Source organism: Homo sapiens, chromosome 1 (genome assembly GCF_000001405.40).
Source record: "Homo sapiens chromosome 1, GRCh38.p14 Primary Assembly".
NCBI classification, from domain to species: domain Eukaryota; kingdom Metazoa; phylum Chordata; class Mammalia; order Primates; family Hominidae; genus Homo; species Homo sapiens.
The window spans coordinates 53,438,370-53,459,257 of NC_000001.11; the positions used below are offsets into that span (position 1 = coordinate 53,438,370).

General features: G+C 43.4%; 1 long non-coding RNA gene and 1 pseudogene across 2 annotated transcripts, besides 1 other annotated feature; one reads left to right on the forward strand and one right to left on the reverse strand.

Moving 5' to 3' along the window:
- SLC25A3P1 (solute carrier family 25 member 3 pseudogene 1) lies at positions 1-1,651 on the reverse strand (annotated as a pseudogene). The gene is made up of 2 exons (NR_002314.3): positions 1,406-1,651; positions 1-679 (listed from the first exon to the last, which is right to left on the reverse strand). The product of NR_002314.3 is annotated as a solute carrier family 25 member 3 pseudogene 1 (transcript).
- LOC105378733 (uncharacterized) lies at positions 1,267-7,023 on the forward strand. The gene is made up of 3 exons (XR_947371.2): positions 1,267-1,532; positions 1,634-1,724; positions 6,812-7,023. It is a non-coding gene; the product is annotated as an uncharacterized LOC105378733 (long non-coding RNA).
- Positions 6,227-6,521: an enhancer, noted in NCBI's record as "tiled region #5491; K562 Activating DNase matched - State 12:CtcfO". NCBI's record gives its function as "activates a minimal TATA promoter and a strong SV40 promoter by Sharpr-MPRA in K562 cells {active_cell/tissue: K562}" and the evidence as "EXISTENCE:reporter gene assay evidence [ECO:0000049][PMID:27701403]".
- Positions 7,024-20,888: the final 13,865 nt, after the last annotated feature.

Here is a 20,888-nt window from a genome sequence, read left to right on the forward strand (position 1 = left end):
TACTTTTTCTTCTTCAGGGGTTCGGGCGCTTGAGCCACGGGAGGGCGAGGCAGCTTGAAATAGACCTTGACCAGGTCATAGATAAACCACTGCAGGGCCGTGAGGGTGCCGATCATGGGGATGTGCGCAAAGAGGCCGATGCGCGCAACGACGCCCTTCCACACGCCCGTGAACCCCAGTCTTCGGAGGACGCCCAGGGCCGCGATGCCCTTCTCCTTGTTCAGCACAGACACCACGGAGTCGGCGGGATGGGACACGACAGCGCAGAAGACGCCACGAAGGTGATGCCCAGCTGCTTGGCCTTGGTGCACTGGCTCTGGGGCTTGGGCACGGCATACCTGTAGAGGTCCTCTACCGTGCGCTCGAAGCAGGCGAACTTCATCATGGTGTAGGGGATCTGCCTCAGCCACAGCGGCGCCACGCCCTTGTAGAAGGCCCACAGGCCCTCCTCGCCCTACATCCTGGACGCCGTGGCTCGCAGGGTGCTGGCGTAGCCCGGTCGCGTCTGCACGCGGACCTTGACCGCCTCCATGGGCTCCAGCGAGACATCGGGGAAGAACTCGGCGCTGGCCCAGGCGAAAAGGTACAGGCCGGCTCTCCACCCGTAGGCTTTCTCTGGGCCCAGGAGCTCCGCGGAGCGGATCTTGAAGACCTCGTAAAGGCCGAACTTGAAGAAGCCCTGCAGGGAGTAGCCGAAGAAGGTCTGAGCGCAGCCGCGAGCCAGGCCGCACAGCCCGTCGCTGTGCACCGTCACGCCGAAGCCGCTGAGGACGCCCTTGTACCAGCCGGGGTCCACCTGCATGCGGCACTTGACCAGGTGCAGGGACACGATGGCCGTGTGTGTCAGCCGCAGCTCAGCATCCCGCCCAGGCCGCACAGCAGCAGGTACCGGGCCGAGCCGTACTCCACGCTGGCCTCCTCCACAGCCGCCGCCCAGGGTCTGCTGACGCCTTGGCCCACGCTTCTCGCCTGCAGCGCTCGGCGGCCGCGAGGGGATCATCCATGGCCACGCTGGGTGCGGGCCCACCCTGCCCTCCGCCCCTCCAGGCGCACTCACTCAGGGGCCGCGGGGCGGGGCAGAGCGTCGTGAACCTCCCTCGCGAGTCCGCCCACACAACGGCCCAGGCGAGGGGATCCCTGCGGGACCACAGCGCTTCAGCCTGTGCCTGTGCAGTCCGCGGTGTGAAGGACGGTTTAAGTAGGCGGTGTCACCCCGCCCCTTCCCCTCCAGCACGCCCCGCCCCTTCGCCCCGGCGCCCCTTCGCCCCTTCTCGCCCCTTCTCGCGTCTTCGCCCCTTCGCCCCTTCGCCCCTTCGCCCCTTCAGGTCAATGGGCTCCTGGTAGCTGCAGGAACCCCGCCCCGCTGAGCCTAGGCCAGTCAGTGGTCAGTGGTCCCAGAGCTCACCTTCGGCGGTGGGCCGGGCCTTCACCACCCTGGTGACTTTGGTCCAGCTTGGCTGCCTAATCCTCTACAAAAATGCGAAGAAAGTAAACCAACATGTACAAACACGAGTAAACGCAGGAATAGGCGAGTACGTAGATCAGGAGGCGGGCGAAGGGGTAAAGAGTCGCCATGCACTGTTGCCTTCCTGAGAGGCCTTTCTGGAGTCCTCACCCAACTATGCCGGTTTAGGGGAATGGTCATCTCCATGGCAGTGACGTTCCACGGTGCGAATGGGCAGAGAGAGCCAGTGGCTTCCGGCCTTACATAACCTTCTCACCTGGTAGGTAGGTGAGTTTCCCCCAGCTCACACACCACTCCTGTCTCCCAACAAACGGTTGTAGTGGGAGCCTAGGAAGTATGGGGACACTCACTGAATTTAGGGGGGGGTGCTGATTACTTTCACTTATCAGGTATTTTCTTTTCATTGACTACTGATTTTGGAGAATACGAAAGTGAGTCAGAAGCCCTCTTCTTTTGGGAAGCTTACAGTTTCAGTGGCCTGAAAAATAAGAACTAAGTGATTCCAGGTATAAATCAGTAGCATACATCATCCATTCATTTACCCACTTTGTGCTAGGCCCTGTGCAGGGCTAGGGGTTCAGCAAAGAACTAGACATACTCCTGCTAACTTCTAAATAAGATTTTTTTTAAAAGAAAAAAGTCAGTATTTTGATAAGTATTATAACAGAATTTGTTTTTTGAGACAGAATCTCACTCTGTCACCCAGGCTGGAGTGCAGTGGTGTGATCTCAGCTCACTGCAACCTCTTCCTCCTGTACTTTTAGTAGAGATGGGGGTTTCACCATGTTGGTCAGGCTGGTCTCGAACTCCTGACCTCAAGCGATCCGCCTGCCTCGGCCTCCCAAAGTGTTGGGATTACAGGCATGAGCCACCGTGCCCAGCCTATAACAGAATTTGAATAAAGTTCTAGATGAACAATGAAGGAGCAACTAATTTTGCCTGATGAGGTTCAGAAGATTTCCCTGAGGAAGTGACAAGTGTAGCTGGGTCTTGAAGGATAAGTAGGAGTTTGCCACGTAAAAAAGACTAGAAAGGCAATTTCAGGTGAAAGGAAACAAACCTAAGTGCATTTCCTACTGAGGAGAGGGGCTTAATTCAGTATGATGGAAATCAGCAAGGGTTGAGTCTGGAAAAATAAAATTGGGTCAAATTAGGGAAGGCCTTAATGTCTTGTTCAGGACTTTGACTTTTATCCTGTAGGGCAGGCCTATCATTCTCACAAGTGTGATCCGCAGACCACCTGCATCAGAATCACCTGGAGTGCTTTATTAAAAATCTCACCTCACACTCTAGACCGTCTGAATGAGAATCTCTGTGCGTAGAAATAAGTGATTTTAATACACTCCTAGGTGGATTCTTCACTAAGCTTCACTAAAGTTTGAAAACTACACACCACAGTATGGGAAGTCAAGAATTTTTTTTAAGGTTTTCTGATCCACCCGCAAGTGGCATTTGACCAGGTCCAGGGGCATGATGGACATGTGTGTCAGCCCACAGCTCAGCATCCCTCCCAGGCACATGGCAGCAGGTACCAGGGCCAAGCTGTAATGATACATATTGATCAGATTTTCTGATCAATAATTTAGTGCTTATATCCTGAACTGGGTGTATTAAAGAGAATAAAAAATAATATTCCCTCAACCCTCGTAAGTTCACAGTTGGGACAGACTCCTGCAACAAAAGACAGATTAACAAGAGAAAAACAAGCAAGTTTATTAACACATGCAGTGCACATAATGTGGGAGAAAAGTAACTCTAAGCAGTAGCTTAAGAATCTGGCTTATATAGCATGTCTAACATAGCATGATATAATACATTTTAGAAACGTAACAAGACAAAAGAAAAGCAGTCCCAGGCTCCTTGAGGTGAGAAAATGTAGGAAGGTAAATTTATGGGGAAACTAATGGAGTAAAGTCTGCTCAGATTCCTCTGGCACTGTCTCTAAGCTGATAAAGGTTGTAAAGAAGAATTTATATCCCGTCTTCAGGCGGGAAAGCAGGGTGGGTGGATAGAAAGACCTTTTGTCTTTGTAATTCTCTGTCCTGCTTTTAGTCAGACAGAAAGAAGGCAGAGAACTCCCTACATCTGCTTCTTAATTGCCTTTAACTAAAAAAAAAAAAAAAAATTAAGTCAAAGAGGCATATTTTGATGTGACAAATTCTGGTTTCCTTCAGTATTCACCTGTGAAAATTTATCAAGCTGTACACTTAAGATTAGAGTACATTATACACTTTATGTATATTATACCATAATTTTTTTTAAAAGTTGACTGGTGTAAAATTCTCACCCCAAACTGGGGATGATGGCTAGAGGGGAGAACAGAGGCAGATACAGGTTTTCTCAATCAACGATCCTTTTTTAAAACTCCTCTCCTTGTAATAGTCTTCTACCAGGAATTTAAGTATTAAAGAGAAGTCTCCATCCTTGAGTCAGACAGAACAATGAAGTGTTAAAATATCCCATACTAACTAAATTAGGGCTTCCCACAGTATGTTCCTGGGAATACTGGTCCACTTGAAAAAGGTCTGCAGTCAAATGAGTTTGAGAAGTAATATGCTTTGGATCTGTGTCCCCACCAAATCTCATGTTGTGTTGTAATCCCAGTGTTGGAGGCCTGGTGGGAGGTGACTGAATCATGGGGGTGGAGTTCTCATGAATGAGTTAGCACCATCCCCTCGGTGCTGGTCTCATGATAGTGAGTGAGTTATCGTGAGATCTAATTGTTTAAGTGTGTAGCACTTCCCCACTCTCTTTTCTTCCTCCTGCTCTGGCCACACAAGATATTCCTGCATCCCCTTTGCCTTTCACCATAATTGTAAGTTTCCTGAGGCCTCTGCAGAAGCAGATGCTGCTATGCTTCCTGTACAGCCTGTGGAGCTGTGAGCCAATTAAACTTCTTTTCTTTATAAATTACCTAGCCTCAGGTATTTCTTTTCTTTTTTTTTTTTTTTTTTTTTTTTTTTTTTTTGACAGAGTCTCACTTATCTCATGTTGCCCAGGCTGGAGTGCAATGGAGTGATCTTGGCTCGCTGCAATCTCCGCCTCCCGGGTTCAAGCGATTCTCCTGCCTCAGCCTCCTGAGTAGCTTGGATTACAGGTGCCCGCCACGACACTCAGCTAATTTTTGTATTTTTAGTAGAAACGGGGTTTCACCATGTTGGCCAGGCTGGTCTCAAACTCCTGACCTCAAGTGATCCACCTGCCTTGGCCTCCCAAAGCACTGGGATTACAGGTGTGAACCACTGTGCCCAGCCTCAGGTATTTCTTTATAGCAATGTGAGAGCAGATTAATACAAGAAGCATTTCACACTAAGGCATGCTTCTCAACTGAGGTGATATCATCCCCAAGGGGGTGAAATGGTTCTTAGGGGGCAAAGAATCTTAGTACAATGGTTTGTGGCCCACCCAGTAAAATCTTATTCCTTAGTATTTAATTTTGGGGGAGAGTGGGAAGGAGGGAAAGGATGATTAGTAAAAATGTCTAAATCCCTGGGGGAGGGATGGCCTATAATGAACAAAAGGTTGAGAAACGCTGTGTCAGAGCTTGCTCTTGGAGATTCACAGGACACATAAACACATTGAAGAGTGAGAAGTTGTTTAGTTAAAAAAAAACTCTGGCTTTGTTAATTTAGAGTTTCCTAATTTTCCTGGATTTCAGAACCCCTTTTTCATTTTTATTTTATTTATTTTTTATTTTTTGAGATGGAGTATCACTCTGTCGCCCAGGCTGGAGTGCAGTGGTTTCATCTCAGCTCACTGTGACCTCCACCTCCCAGGTTCAAGCAATTCTCCTGCCTCAGCCTCCCGAGTAGCTGGGACTACAGGTGTGTGCCACCGTGCCTGGCTAATTTTTGTATTTTTAGTAGAGACAGGGTTTCACCATGTTGGCCAGGCTGGTCTCGAACTCCTGACCTCAGGTGATCCACCTGCCTTGGCCTCCCAAAGTGCTGGAATTACAGGTGTGAGCCACCGCGCCCGGCCAGAAGCACTACCCCCACCCCCACCTTTTTTTTTTTTTTTTTTTTTTTGAGACGGAGTCTCACTCTGTCACTCAGGCCAGAGTGCAGTGGTGCAATCTCGGCTCACTGCAACCTCTGCCTCCCGGGTTCAAGCAATTCTCCTGCCTCAGCCTTCCGAGTAGCTGGGACTACAGGCACACGCCACCATGCCTGGGTAATTTTCTGTATTTTAGTATAGATGGGGTTTCACCGTGTTGCCCAGGCTGGTTGGGAACTCCTGAGCTCAGGCAATCCTGGTACCTCAGCCTCCCAAAGTGCTGGGATTATAGTCATGAGCCAGTGCGCCCAGCCCGGAACCCCTTTTTTATATCATACCTATTCACATTGCTATTCATAGACATAACTATTCATAGACGTAGTCTTTCATGGAGCATATTTCGGGAAATGCTGGACTCTTCAGAAATGGAGTTTAGAGAAAATAAGGAGTAAAGAGGGCTAGAGTAATAATAACAGCAGCTACATTTACTGAACCCTTAGGCCTCCATTTCCTAAAGGTACAACTTGGATGTTTTCCTAACATATACCACTGTTCACTTTATGAAACCAGAGGTTATATCAAATTGATCTCATTTCTATCGGATACCTGTTCTGTACTGTGGGCGGCTAGCCACCCAGGTGCCGAGGCAAGAGACCGAAGGCACAAGCTGTTCCAGTGTAATAAAGAAAATATATATAATAAGAATAGTTTTACTAGAAATAGATTATAGATGTGGTTATATATGAATATTATTAATCATTAGTTTGTAGCATTACTATTTATTCCAATATTATAATAATCTTTGTTCTACAATTATAACCTAGAAAAAAACAGGCCATACAGAGATAGGAGCTGAAGGGACACGGTGAGGTGACCAGAAGACAAGAGTGTGAGCCCTCTGTTACACCCGGACAGGGCCACTAGAGGGCTCCTTGGTCTAGTGGTAACACCAGTGCCTGGGAAGGCGCCCATTACTTAGCAGACCTTGGTCTAGTGGTAGCGCCAGTGCCTGGGAAGGCACCCGTTACTTAGCAGACCGGGGAAGGGAGTCTCCCTTTCCCCGGGGGAGTTAGAGAAGACTCTGCTCCACCACCTCTTGTGGAAGGCCTGACATCAGTCAGGCCCGCCTGCAGGCATCTGGAGGCCTAAACGTCTCCCGGTGATCCTGTGCTTCAGTGGTCATGCTCCTGGTCCACCTTCATGTTCCACCCTGTACACTTGGCTCCACCTTCTAGGTAGCAGTAGCAGAAATAGTGAAAGTATTAAAGTCTTTGATCTCTCCAAGAAATACATAGAAGAAATAATGATGTAAGCTATCCTCTCTCTCTCTCCGCCTCGGCTACCAAATAGGGAAGGGCCCCCTGTCCGGTGGACACGTGACTTGCATGACCTTACCTATCATTGGAGACGACTCACACTCCTTACCCTGCCCTCTTGCCTTGTATACAATAAATAACAGCATGGCCAGGCATTCAGGGCCACTACCAGTCTCCGTGCCTTGGTGGTAGTGGTCCCCTGGGCCCAGCTGTCTTTTCTTCTATCTCTTTGTCTTGTGTCTTTATTTCTACAATCTCTCATCTCTGCACACAAAGAGAAAAACCCACAGGCCCTGTAGGGCTGGACCCTACACTGTACCACTAAAATATATATATATATTTTTGAGACAGGGTCTACTGTGTCACCCAGGCTGGCATGCAGTGACGTGATCATGGCTCAATGCAGCCTCAACCTCCCGAGGCTTGAGCAATCCTCCCACCGCAGCCTCCCAAGCAGCTGGGACTACATGCACATGCCACCATGCCCAGCTAATTTTAAAAAATTGTTTATAGAGACAAGGGTCTCACTGTATTGCCCAGGCTGGTCTCAAACTCCTGTACTCAACTGACCTGCCCTCCTTGGCCTCCCAAAGTGCTGGGATTATAGGAATGAGCCACTACACTTGGCCTTAAACTATTGTTTATAACAATGAATTTGTACAAGTTAAAGAAAACAATCAAGAAATTGTCAGGACAAAACTTTTCTTAGACAATTCTTAGTTCAGTAATGTCTCAGTTCATTAGTGTTGTTATAAAGGAATACCTAGGTAATTTATAAAAAAAAAAGAGGTTTATTTGGCTTGTGGTTCTGCAGGCTGTACAGGAAGCATGGCACCAACATCTGCTTCTAGTGAGGGCCTCAAGCTGCTTCCATTCATGGTGGAAGGCAACAGGAGATGGGGAGAAGATGGGGAGGAAGGCAAAAAAGAGGGGAGGGAGGTGCTGGGCTCTTTTAAACAACAGGCTTTCTCAGGAACTCATGGAACTCACTTGCTACTGTGAGGACTGCACCCCCTCATTCAGGAGCCACTCACCCCGTAACTCAAATGCCTCTCATTAGGCCCCACCTCCAACATTTGGTATCAAATTTCAACATGAGGTTTGGAGAGGTCAAATATCCAAGCCATAGCAAATAACTTTACTAAAACACAGCCATAAAGTCAGTAACAACTGAAAGTAGCCTACGAGAATATTTCACCATTACAGAGCACACAACTACCATTATTATTTCCTTGGTTGTTACATGATGTTGGGCAACATTTCTGTCTTGAAATCATCATTATACTTTTACTGTGTTCTTTCTGCAAACTTCAATTGATGAGTTAAGTAGACCTTTCCTTTCCAGAAGACCGAATAAAGACTTGTGTTTCTTTTATTTGTTAGAGAGAAAAGAGTGAAAACGTATTCCTTTATTCATCCATTCAACAGATTTTTATTGAGTGCCTATTATGTGCCAGCACATTTTAAATGTATAGCAAAGCAGAGCTAATATCCCACATTGTCCCCAAACAGAATTTCCAAAAGCTCTAAAACATAATCATAGAGCACTTAGATAAAACAATAGCAAACACTTATTTGGTATCTACTCTTTGCCAGTTGCTATAAACATCTGTAATCCTACAACAAGCATACAAGATAGATGTTCTTCCCATTTCATGAATACAGAGTGGCAGACACTGTTGTCTACTCTTTAGCAACAGAACCCCTATTTGTTCAGGTATCTGGGAGATATTCTTTGATCTCTACATCATTTTGACTCACTTCCTTCTCATGAAATTTTAATTTGCATGTAGGGTATTTGATTTTCAGCCATAAATACTTAGGCCCATGGCCCATTGATACTTTCTCTACTACAGTTACACAAATATATAATATATTCATGCAAGATGTCCTTATTCCTGTTGTCCATGTTTTTGTGTGTGCCCCTCCACTTTCCTCTACCAATCCATGTCATCTTACAGAATCAGTTACAAAGTATGTCTGCCAGAAAACTTTCTTTGCTTAATTCACCTCCCTTGTGTTTGCCAGACTTTCATTTGTATGTAATCTGGACTGGTAAATTGCCATTTTTTTTTAACTGTATAGGAAATACTTCTGACAGGATTGTAAGAACACTGCTTATTTTGTTTATGTATCATTTCATGGAACGGTGTTCTATCCAGTAATCAGGGGATAGTGGCCAACTCTCTTACCTGTAAAAATGAACCAGAGTAGTTGCCTGAATTATTTTCTCAGAGTGAACGTAATCAGATGACTTCATCCCCCCATAGTGAATCTCTATATTCACCCTACAAGTTTGGAGAATAGTGTTTTTGATATGTTATTTTATTTTGTTAGATTTAGCCTAAAACTGCCTCCTTACATATTTTAAGTTTGGCCTAAAAGTTTCTCCGTACATAGTGAACTGTAACCTAACTGGATGTGCAAACAGACTGCAATCTACCCTTGTGCCAATCACTGAGATTCAGCCAATCAAAGTCAGCCAACTGTTCAAACTATGTTCAAATAACGCAACACTGAACTGTAACCAATCTGGCTATTTCTGTACCTCTTTTCTGTACATCGCTTTCCTTTTTCTGTCCATAAATCTTCTTCGACCATGCACCAGTGGTGGAGTCTCTCAACCTATTCTGGTTCTGGAGCTGCCTGATTTGCAAATTGTTCTTTACCCAATTCAACTCTGTTAAATTTAATTTGTCTAACGTTTTTCTTTTTATATACATTTTTTTCTTAACAGCAAGCTCATCCTTAATCTTTTTATAATTTTTAAAGTATATGGAGGACAGTGAAATTAATAAATTTAAGTCCTTAGGAACTTCATGGGAAGGGGAATTGAATATTTATTAAACACTATGACTTGTCAGTACAGTGAATGTTTCTACTCACTTCTGACACCAAGTGTGGATTTTTTCCACACCACCAGTCAGTTCTCCAACTCTCTGGACACCAACTGGGTATCCAACAATTCAATCCAATTTGGACACTAACTACTTGGAATTAATGTCAAACCCCACAGGTTAAGGGCTTAGTCCCACAAGACTGTCCCCACTTCAGACACCAATTGCAAGTCCAGAGCCTCCCCTATTTCTGACCTACTGGCAATACATTGGAGATTCCCACAATCTCCTCATGTTCAATAATTTGCTAGAATAGCTCACAAAACTCAGGAAAACACTTTACTTACATGAACTGGTTTATTATAAAAGCTACAATTCAGGAACAGCCAAATGGAAGAGAGGCATAGGACAGACTAAGGGGAAAAGGGGCGCGGAGCTTCCATACCCTCCCAGAGCCTGCTAGCCTCCCAGCATGTCAATGTGTTCACTAATCTGGAAGCTCTCAGAGCCCTGTACTTTAAATGTTTCATGGAGGTTTCATTACTTGGGCATAGTTAAATCATTGGCTATTGGTGATTAACTCCATCTCCAGTCCCTCTCCCCTCCCCAGAGGTGGGGGTGGGAGCTGAAAGTTCTAATTGTCTAATCATGCCTTGGTCTTCCTGGTGAGCAGCCCCCATCCTGAAGGTATCTAGGGGACCCCAGCCACCAATCACATCATTAGCATATAAAAAGACACTGTTATCATTCCAGAGATTCCAAGGGTCTTAGAAGCTCCTGTCAGGAACTGAGGATAAAGGGCAAATATCATAACAAATGATGCTCCTATCACCCCTATCACTCAGGAAATTACAAGGGTTTTAGGGACTCTGAGCCAGGAACCAGGACAAAGACCAGATATATATTTCTTATTATATCACAATATCACAGTCAGACACTATGATATAGTAGAGAAAGTGTCACAACTTTGGGCTGAAACAGATTTTGAGTTCCATTTTTTTTCTAGCTGTGTGAACTTAGACAAGTTATGTATCCTCTTTCTGAGCTTATTTTTCTTTTGTAAATCTGTAATTTGAGTTCATTATAACTACTGTTTATCTTTTAGGGTTGCAATAGGAGAGACAATGTGCACGAATGTGTGAGAAGTTGTGCATAAAGTATGTGGCTCAGTACCCTGTACGTTAATAAGCATTCCACAAATGTCAGTTCTGTTACTCACCCCCATTTTCTGGCCCCATTCAATCCTCTCAGAACTCATGTTTCTGTGATGCCAGTCTCTGCTCTTTCTCCTCCACTCAAGTGGATGATTCGGTTAACTAAATTCCTACTGACTCTGATGATTTGGGACAGGAATTGAAGAAATCATAACTGGCAGAGGTGTGAACTTCTTTGACAATGCCCCAAGATGTGTCAAGGCATAAAATAAGCAGGTGTCAGGTCTCTGAGCCCAAGCTAAGCCATCATATCCCCTGTGACCTGCACGTACACATCCAGATGGCCGGTTCCTGCCTTAACTGATGACATTCCACCACAAAAGAAGTGAAAATGGCCTGTTCCTGCCTTAACTGATGACACTGTCTTGTGAAATTCCTTCTCCTGGCTCATCCTGGCTCAAAAGCTCCCCTACTGAGCACCTTGTGACCCCCACTCTGCCCGCCAGAGAACAACCCCCCTTTGACTGTAATTTTCCTTTATCTACCCAAATCCTATAAAACGGCCCCACCCTTATCTCCCTTCGCTGACTCTCTTTTCGGACTCAGCCCGCCTGCACCCAGGTGATTAAAAGCTTTTATTGCTCACACAAAGCCTGTTTGTTGGTCTCTTCACACGGATGCGCATGAAAGCAGGACAGAGATTGTTCACCTGTGGCTGTCTCAGAGCAGGACAGGACAGAGAACCAGGCAGCCTTCCTCCTCTTCCAAATAAACCCTTCCAGCCTGGTGCTTTATTCCGTTGAATTCCAGCTATAGTGGCCAACTTGTCCCAGCTTTTCCTGGACAAAACAGGGAGGTTTTACCACTAAAAATCACGTGTCCCTAAAACTCTTTCAGTGTCAGGCAAATCAGGACACTTGGTCACCATACCTGAGGAGTCTGGGCTATGTCCTTGGCTTCCACCTATGGGCAGTGTGCTGCACTATAATAAGCACAGGCTTTGGCACCAGGCATACCTGATCCACAGTCTGGACTATTCCACTTCTAGCTATGAAATTTGTAAAGTTTGTCTTATATTCTTGAACCTCAGTTTCTTCATCTATGAAATACATCATATTCTTTCCTAAATTTGTAATAAGCTTCATATTATTAAATGATACAACAATGCTTGCAATGCTGTAAAACCTTTATATATGTTAGTTCCTTCCTGACTTCCTTAAGAGGAGTTTCATTATTCTCTGGGGTACCATGTCTCTAAAAATCCCTGAAACCTCAAGTTTCCATGAAGGGGGGTGGCCATCGGGCAGCAGGGGGCACTGTTGCCACTATTCCATTCTTCCTACCCACTTCTCTGCACCCCACTATCCTCACACCAAAGGAATAAAGCTTTAGTAAGCCACTGATGAAAGATGGCCAAACTCGGACACAGGAAGGGGAATATCACACTCTGGGGACTGTGGTGGGGTGGGGGGAGGGGGGAGGGATAGCATTGGGAGATATACCTAATGCTAGATGACGAGTTAGTGGGTGCAGCGCACCAGCATGGCACATGTATACATATGTAACTAACCTGCACAATGTGCACATGTACCCTAAAACTTAAAGTATAATTAAAAAAAAAAAAAAAAAAAGTTGGCCAAACTCAAAACCCACACTTGGTTTTAACTTACCTAAATGTGTCCCACATGCTTGCAATAATGTTAAGGGTGTATCTGGACCCTTTTACATCTTGTACATTAATGTATAATCCTTCTCACTCCAGGGCGTTTATGAAGTGCGAGGGGGCCAAATGTTTATTCTTAGAATTATTCAACCCCAGATAATTAATTATTCTGATGAATTGTATACTTTTTTTTCTTTTTTCTTGACCAGATTGGAAACAATGATAGACATTCAACTGAGATTTATTTGTAAAACTCTGACAGATTGGGAATGATAGAGTTCCTTAAACTGTCTCTTAAAATAAATATTTCTGATTTATCTGGCAAGTTAAAGAGGAAAAAGCAACAATCCCCAAACTGATTAGGCCAAGTAAGTTTAACTATGTTTAAAGAAAATGTGTAGGAGGTAATAATCTCTATATGCTTAGGAAAAAAACTGTTCATAACAAATCTTCATGCCTTTTTTTGTTTAAGGAATTATTTGTGCAAAGCAAAATTACTACTCCTAGTGGTAGTAATTGTTTACCTGGGGTAGGTTCTAAGGGAGAAGAAGGGTATTAATCAAATACTTTAAAAACTAATTTTCCAGAATTCTTACAATATAAAATGTCCACGGGACTACATTTATCAAGCGACATGTACATAATCAACCTGTGCCCTCTGGTTGAGCTTTTAGGCAAAACTGATGGATTCTATATTGCAGGCATGCTGTAACCTTAGTAAATAATGACACCCTTCTTTCTTTTCTAGTTTACACAGTATTTTACTAGTAATTTATACCTAACAAGAGAAATAGGAAAATATTCCCATAAAAATAACATCATATGTTTGAAGATTCAAAATGCAAACTGGAGTTTTATTAGACTCTTCTAGCTGGCATTTTCTAATAGTAATATTTCCAGTTCTGAAGCATGAGACAGTGTTTTGATCCCATTAAAAAGGCCCTAAATGGTAAAGAGCAGAGATTCATGCGAGTGAAGGTTATCTAACCACCATGATGGAGGGGTGTATGAACGTGGTACACTCTACCTGAAGATGATGTAACACCTTGAACATAAGCTACTGTGGAAAACTTGGTCTTCAGAAGTAGAAGGACTGAGCACACAAATCTCTTGTGCACTGCTGCCCAATAGAAATATAATGAAAGATCATACATATAATTTAAGATTTTCTGGTAGCAACATTAAAAGAGTAAAAAGCCACATCAAAATATTATTTAATTCAATATATCCAAAATATTACTTCAATATATCCAAAATATTATTTCAATATATAATATATATAAAATTATTGAGATATTTTGCATTCTTTTCTTCATACTATGTCATTAAAATCTGGTGTGTATTTTATACTTTCAGAACATCTTAAATTTAACTGGGCACATTTTAAGTGCTCAATAGCCACAGTAAATAATAGGTATAGTATTGGACAGCTGGTGTTTAATGTATGCTTGGAGAGCCTGATGCCACTGTGTAGCTAAATCAAATCCTGTGATTGGAGGTGGCTTGGAGTCAGTCAGAAATACTACTTATCTCTCACCCCCCTTCCCTTTGTCCCTTCTTCCTCCTTGATACTATGTAATGCATGCTAACCATGTGCCAGATACCAGACCTGTGCTGGGCTATTCAAATGTATTATCTCATCAATCCTACAAGAGTCAGGCATCTCACCTTGTAGTTAAAGTAAAGGAAATAACTAAATGGTGGCAATATGGCATAGTACTTAGGAGTTCAGACTTGGAGGCTATTCACATGTGTTTCTGTCACTTCCTATGTACCTTGGGTAAGAATATTTCTGAACTTTAAGCTTCAATGTTATTTGTCAAATGGACACAATAAAATTACCTACCTTATACATGTTGTTCTGTGGTTTAAATGAGGCCATGTCTGCAAAGTTGTAAGCATTCATTAAATAACAATATCACTAAATGGGATATTGTGCCACACTTTGGGATTTGCAACACGTTTTACAAATATTACTATTGCAACTGAGGCTCAAAGAAGTTAAATAATTTAGCTAAGGTTAACACAGCTAATAACTAATGATCATGTTCTCACCCAGCTTGCCTGTCTTTATAGTATTACTTGCCATCTGTTTTCAGTTACAAAATGGACCGAACTTGTACTGACTCTCTGACATAAAATGTTTAGAAAGGTTACTCGAAAGATAAATTATTGATATCTGTTTGCCTTTCTCATAGAAGCATAACTCAGGAAAAAGATGCTGGTTTTTTGTTTTTCGATAAATAGTTACTGTTTTCTAAGAAATTAGACAAGGAACATACACAGAAAAAAGAAGATTCAATTTAATTTTCTTTTTCCTTTGCTCTTTTTGACTGCTTTTACCAGAGAACAGTACCTTGTATATGGTAGGCATTCAATTCATGCCTCTTGTGTTAAATTGAGTTTGCATTTTACCACAGGACAGAGATATTAAAGGTTATATTATTCCCTATTAGCAATGTAGTTTATAGGGACGTGTGCCTCTCGTATTTTCAGAAAAAAAAAATTGAAATTTATAGAAATTTGATAGTACTATCAAAAATACATGTAATCAGCTACATATACATATTATGAAAGTTTCTGTGGGCTGAGCACAGTGGCTCATGCCTATAATCCCAGCACTTTGGGAGGCCAAGGCGGGAGGATTACTTGAGCTGGGAGTTTGAGGGTGTAGTGAGCTATGCTCGCGCCACTGCACTCCAGCCTAGGTAATAGAGTGAGACCCTGCTGCAAAAAAAAAAAAAAAAAAAAAAAAAAAAGAAGAAGAAGGAAGGAAGGGAGGGAAGAAAGTTTCTGTGGGTGTCAAAAAATGTTTGTTCATCCAATTAGCAAGTAAAAACAAGACAGAACAAAGGTCAGTACTATTGGGTTGAAGAGTAGCACTTGGAGCATGCCCTCTCCGCCAGGATGGTGTACTTTTCCTTTGCTCCACAGAATTGCTTGTTCCAGTCTTAATCTTCACAGCCTCTCCAACAGCTTTGGTCTGTTTGACTGCCTCATGCTCTTCTTTTCTCTCACTCCTTTGTCTTCCATCCATTACTATTTTGTGCCTCGCTTCTCTAAGATTCCTAGGAGAGGTCAGATGAATCTGTTAATGGTGTCCCAGGGTTAGAAGGAGCAACCCTGTCTGGCCCAGTGCTAGTTTGGGCCATGGCTAGCCTCAAATGTGTGCCCCACCTGGAACAACCACCTCAAGGAAAACCCCACTCAACTCTATTTGAATCTTGCAATACCTGCACGAGTGCTTATTACTTACTGTTTTGCCTGGCTCTGCCGTGTGATTTCCTCTTCTCCTTGGTCAATTTCCCTCAAGGACTCCTTCCACAGCCTGGCTGCAACTTACTTTTCCACCTCATTTCTCGCCAGTGTCTCAACCTTGCTGCACTACAGCCACACTGTAGGCCACTGAGCATGTGGGACACACTTCTGCTTTTGTGGCTGGCTACTAACCCTTTAGGCATCAGCTTAGAAATCAGCCCCTCAGGGAAGTCTTTTTGATTTCTCAAGCCAGTTTAGGATTCCATATGGGTTCTGAAAACCTGACTTTTATTACTCTGGAATTACTTGTTCACCAAGTAATTGGATTGCCAGCTAGAATGTAGGCCTAAAGGCAAGGATCCTGTCTTTTTACTTAACTTCTGCATGCCTTATGCTTAGCACATGGTTGGCACTCAATAAATATTGACCATGGATAGAGAAAAGCAGCTAAGCAGGGCATCCTAGGAAGTTTCTCCAGGTTGGTACCCCCTTTACCCCCCTTTGCTCCAACTATAATATATAATGATACAAACATTTCTATTCATCACCGAAGCTTTCTTGGGGAGATCACTGTTTGGTTTAGAAGAAATATTTGGGTTAGCAAATATATGGTTAATAACATAGACTCTGACGTTAGATTTCCTGGTTTTGAATGATGGCTCTTCCACTTAATGGCTGTGAAATCTTGGGAAGTTCTAAACTTCTTTGGTCTCAGTTTTTCATGTATAAAATGCGGGTGATAATAACAGTAACCTACCTTGGAGGCTTGTTAGTAGGATTATATGACTTAATACATGTAAAGGACTTGAGAGTTCCTGGCACATATAAACAGTTAGAAAGTGCTAAATATTATTATTACTATTATTAAGCCATTAGGGGAGGGGGTGAATTCAAGAACAAAGTCAGTCCCCCAATTCTGCTGGTCAGAACAGTGGCCTTGATCACTGTGGGCTTTCTGTTTGCCTGAGCACTTGTATAATATTTGAGGGAAGTTGCTGAAGCCAATTGGGGAGGAGATAACTTTGACATTGGCAGGAGAGGGAGAATTCATTCACACATTCAACAAGTATTCACTGAATATCAATTTTGTGCTAGACATAAAGAGAAATAAGACAGCCACAGCCATCATGGAGGCTAACAGAAATAGAGAAAGGAGAGTGGAACTAGAGAGGCTGGGTACTAGCCGGTGGGAGGACAGAGCACTTGTCTGTGGGAAGACAGACCAGTGGGTTTGGCACAGCAGAGGAGGATCCTGAGAACAGAAATGCTAAGACAGGATTTTAAAGCATCTGCCATAGGATGTATCATGTAAATCCTCCACTCCACCTCTTCTATGAAATCTTCAATAAAGTTTTCATTGCTCACTGGAGAGAGCTCGAAGAAGGGAAGATAGCAGATATCTGGGTTATAGCTGCTGGGGGAAAGATGCTATAGGCAAAAAAAAAAAAACAACCCTTCCTTACTCTTGAGCGCTGCCAGTAAGGAAACATTCTAGTGCATGCAATATTTAATGATTATAAATGATACCCCTGTGCACTGCATAATGCAAGGCTCTTTAAAATGAATATGAATTAAACAGTACCAGCAGCAATCATATTAACCAAATAGAAGAGGCGTTAGGAAACTAGGGACTCTGGGAAAAAAAGCTGGGAGTCATATATGACCACCAAGCATCCTCACTGCGGTTAATTAGTCAAACTGCAATTCTTCAGCAATTGTAAGTTGGCAGACTTTCTTAAATGTAAATATCCCAAGGTTTAGGTGTGGGGAAGGAAGTCATTCACTGTGTATTTACTGCTCCCATCCTTTTTTGACTTCCTGTTTTCTGCTTTTATATCATGTCACTATCTTTTAAAATACTGCCAGGTGCAGTAGCTCATGCCTGTAATCTCAGCTCTTACGGAGGCCGAGGCCAGTGGATCACTTGAGCCCCTGGGCAACATAGTGAAACCCCACCTAAAAAAAAAAATACAAGAGTTAGCCTGGTGTGGTGGTGTGTGCCTGTTGTCCCAGCTACTCGGGAGGCTTAAGTGGGCAGGTAACCTGAGCCCAGAAGGCAGAGGTAGCAGTGAGCAGAGACCATGCCACTGCACTCCAGCCTGGGTTATGAAGCCAGACCCTGTCTCAAAAAACAAACAAACAAACAAACAAAACCCAGTTTAAAGAAATGTGTTTGTATATATATCTTTTTTTTAAAGCAGCAGTCTAAGAAGTAATTAGCCATCAACCTAAACAGAACAAAACTATTAATTTGCCTGAATTTCCAAGAATGAGATAAATAAAACTCTGTTGAAATTTACCTACGCAAATTGAGACTTTTGGGGGAAAGAAATAAACTAGTATTTTTCTTCGTAGATTTGTTTACTGTGTAAACCCTGCATCTTAAAACATGACTACTGATTAAATATATGGTTGTTTATTAACGTTCTCAAAGCACTATGCAAATTCACATCACCTTGGGTATATTTTGCCTCTGAAGCTATGAAGTGAATATGGAAGCATTTTGTAGTTAACAAGGCTAACGTATGTTAACTCAAATAGCTTGCTTTGAAGAAAATTTTCCTTTAAATTATTAATATTAATGAGAAAGTGAGAGCTTGGGTGGTCAAGCATGAAATATGAATGAGTAGTTTTCGTTTTTAGGCCTTATTATCCGATGTCACCTGATGTTCAAATTTAAATTTGATAATGCAGAAAATAACAATACAATTTGCAGTGTCATGAAACAATGCAGCTTGTGCCCCAGATTTTTCGACAGCAGTACTGAAACTATGATTTTTAAGTGACATTTTCAAAAGACAAGGTCAGTGAAAAACGCTATACATTTTTTATTGGGTAGAGTCAGAAAAAGAGCTTGCCTGTCCTTTAACTATTTTTTTATTTTTTTTTCGACAGGGACTTGCTTTGTCACCCAGGCTGGAGTGCAGTGGCACAAACACGGCTCACTGCAGCCTCGACGTTCTGGGCTCAAGCGATCCTCTTGAGTACAGGCACGCAAGTCACCATCCCTGGCTAATTTTTGTAGAGACATGTTTCGCCATGCTTCCCAGGCTGGTCTGGAACTCCTCAGCTCAAGCTATCCTCCTGCCGCGGCATCCTGAAGTGTTGGGATGATAGGCATGAGCCACTGCAACCGGCCACTAATCATATATATATATGATTCTTCTTGAGACAGAGTCTCGCTCTGTTGCCCAGGTTGGAGTGCAATGGCACGATCTCGGCTCACTGCAACCTCTGCCTCCCGGGTTCAACTGATTCTCCTGCCTCAGCCTCCCGAGTAGCTGGGACTACAGGCGCCCGCCACCATGGCCAGCTAATTTTTGTATTTTTTTTAAGTAGAGACGAGGTTTCACCATGTTAACCAGGCTGGTCTTGAACTTGTGACTTCCGGTGATCCACCTGCCTCAGCCTCCTAAAGTATTAGGATTACAGGCGTGAGCCACTGCACCCGGCCCACTAATCATATTTTTAAAATAAAAACTTAAGTGAGAGGTTGTTAGAGCAAAGCAGAAACAAACCTAGTCCTCCTTAAATGGATGCAGAGCAACCAGTGAAGTCCTAACAAGCCAAGTAACACAGGAAACTTTTTACTACTTTTACTTTCTTATTAAGATGATTTTTTTTAAAGCAGAAAAAGACTTTAAAACCTTTTTTCGCTTTCCAGATCTAATAAGCCCCCCAATGGTAACCATTTCCTATTCCCAGGCAGCTAGTGAGAAACGCAAGGTACAACTACAATCACGGACTCAGGAAAATCAAGGTGGACACCAGGCGTGGGCTTCTCCCATTCTACCAACAGAAAGAGAGAAATTCAAAGAAAGAGCAATGAAAAATGCACAAGTTTTAGCCACATATTAACTGTAACTACCTCCTTAAATGCGACTGATCTAATTAGAAGCTTTTCAGCTTGTTAGTGGCCCATTTTTTCCTTTTTTTGGACAAAGAAGGGAGGAGAGGGGAGGGGAGGGAAATGGAGGCAGTGGGGTGGTGGGGGGGAGGGGCGGGAGAGAGAGACAGAGAGAGAGAGAGAGAGAGAGAGAGAGAGAGAGAGATGCCTCAGGGTGTCACAAATTTGTTTTTAAAAAATGAATTAATGGCCGGACGCGGTGGCTCACGCCCGTAATCCCAGCACATTGGGAGGCCGAGGCCGGTGGATCACCTGAGATCGGGAGTTCAAGACCAGCCTGGCCAACATGGCGAAAACCCCGTCTCTACTAAAAATACAAAAATTAGCTGGGCATGGTGGCGGGCGCCTGTAATCCAAGCTACTCAGGAGGCTGAGGCAGGAGAATCGCTTGAACCTGGGAGGCGGAGGTTGCAGTGAGCCAAGATCCTGCCACTGCACTACAGCCTGGGTGACAAAGCAAGACTCTGTCTCAAAAAAAAAAAAAAAAACAAAAAAAAACAATTAATGCCCTCGGGTAAACTATGACGTTTGTGCTAACTTTTCAGATGTCCCAAGATTTGGGTTGTTTTACAAGGATAACGAAGTTCATGATGAGGTTAAGCAATCACTGAAGCTAGTGCTAGAAATTTTTTTTAATTTAATTTTTTAGAAAGAGGGGTCTTGCAGAATTTTTTATTTAATTTTTTAGAAAGAGGAGTCTCGCTATGTTGCTCAGGTTGGTCTCCAACTACTGGGCTCAAGTGATCCTCACGAGTAGCTAGGGCTACAGGCACAGGACACTATGCCAGGCTTAGTGCTACAATATTCTGTCTATTTTACTTTAAAATATTCTAAGTATGCTCACTTTGGAAGGCATCAACATCCAGAAATGCATTCCTACATCAAGACTCTCAAGAAACGGGAATTACTGTAAGGGCATACCCTTGAGCAACCATCACACTGCACTGAACTCTTGAGAATATTCTGGAATATCCTGGAAGCATCTCTGCAGGGCAGAGAAGTGAACTGCCACAGAAGGAGCAGCTTTGGGGAGAAGAAATACAGTTTGCCTCTTACAGTATTTTTCTACACCGAGAGCTACATTCCTCCCGAGTTTTAAATTTGTGGACCGTTGAATATCACTCCGCCTTTCATAAAGTTACAAATACCTTCCGTCGGTGGCGGGAACAGAGTTTGGAAAATTACATGCCTAAGACTTCAGATAAGCTAAATGACATACATGCAATAGCATCCCATGAAGAATTTATTCAACCCAATCCATTGCATCTAATTACCCAAAGCACAGAAACTCT